Source organism: Homo sapiens, chromosome 4 (assembly GCF_000001405.40).
Source record: "Homo sapiens chromosome 4, GRCh38.p14 Primary Assembly".
NCBI classification, from domain to species: Eukaryota; Metazoa; Chordata; class Mammalia; order Primates; family Hominidae; genus Homo; species Homo sapiens.
In genome coordinates, this window is record NC_000004.12 from 42,260,800 (window position 1) to 42,261,964 (window position 1,165).

General features: G+C 48.2%; 1 annotated feature.

The window, feature by feature from the left end:
- Nucleotides 394-894: an enhancer, noted in NCBI's record as "H3K27ac hESC enhancer chr4:42263210-42263710 (GRCh37/hg19 assembly coordinates)". NCBI's record gives its function as "activates a minimal SCP1, AML or CMV promoter by ChIP-STARR-seq in primed H9 embryonic stem cells {active_cell/tissue: H9 hESC(primed)}" and the evidence as "EXISTENCE:reporter gene assay evidence [ECO:0000049][PMID:30033119]".

Here is a 1,165-nt window from a genome sequence, read left to right on the forward strand (position 1 = left end):
ACGGTCCCTTACAAGGTTGGCAGCGTGAAGCAGCACCTACCACTGTTGTGCTCTCAGGGTCTTTTTGTGTGTGTGTTTGACATCTGCAACAGATTTATTTTATTTTATTTATTTTTTTTGAGATGGAATCTGGCTCTGTTGCCCAGGCTGGAGTGCAGTGGTGCGATCTTGGCTCACTGCAACCTCCGCCTCCCAGGTTCAAGTGATTCGCCTGCCTCAGCCTCCCGAGTAGCTGGGACTACAGGCATCTGCCACAACAGCTGGGTAATTTTTGTATTTTCAGTAGAGACGGGATTTCACCATGTTGGCCAGGTTGGTCTCAAACTCCTGACCTCAAGTGATCCACTTGCCTCGGCCTCCCAAAGTGCTGGGATTACAGGCGTGAGCCACCATACCCGGCCCAGATTTATTTTTTTAAAGGGATGGATTTTGAGAGGTAACAATATGGGGCAGAAGTATGTAACAGAAAATAAATACAAATGTAAGCTGCTTTGCTAGCTGTTTTATAACCACAACAAACTAGTTCAGAGAATGACCTGTACAAAACACAATAAAGGTTCAAAGATGAAGGCGTTCCCTTAGCAAGGCTGAAAATGTCCATCTCTGGCATTTGGAATTAAAGCTGCAGTCTTTGGTTTTGGATGGATCTCTGGGTGTGTGGCACAGTCCAGGTTTTGGGGAGGTGAGAGGAGTCGCCAGATTCCTCAATCTGGAGAGTATAGTGTTGGTGATGACAAGATTTCCACTCTTCTCTGTGGGATTAGGACGGGAGTGTATTCTCCACCCACCACCAAGCTTAATTGAGGGGGAGATTTCAAGAAGTCTTGTAGCGGGCCGGGCGTGGTGGCTCACACCTGTAATCCCAGCACTTTGGGAGGCTGAGGCAGGCAGATCACGAGGTCAGGAGATCAAGATCATCCTGGCTAACACGGTGAAACCCCGCCTCACTGTGTTAGCTGGGCGTGGTGGTGGATACCTGTAGTCCCAGCTACTCGGGAGGCCGAGGCAGGAGAATGGCTTGAACCGAGGAGGCAGAACTTGCAGTGAGCCAAGATCGCTCCACTGCACCCCAGCCTGGGCAACAGAGCAAGACTGCGTCTCAAAAAATAATAATAATGAAAAAATAATAGAGTACTACACAACTATTAGAATGGACAAAATCTAA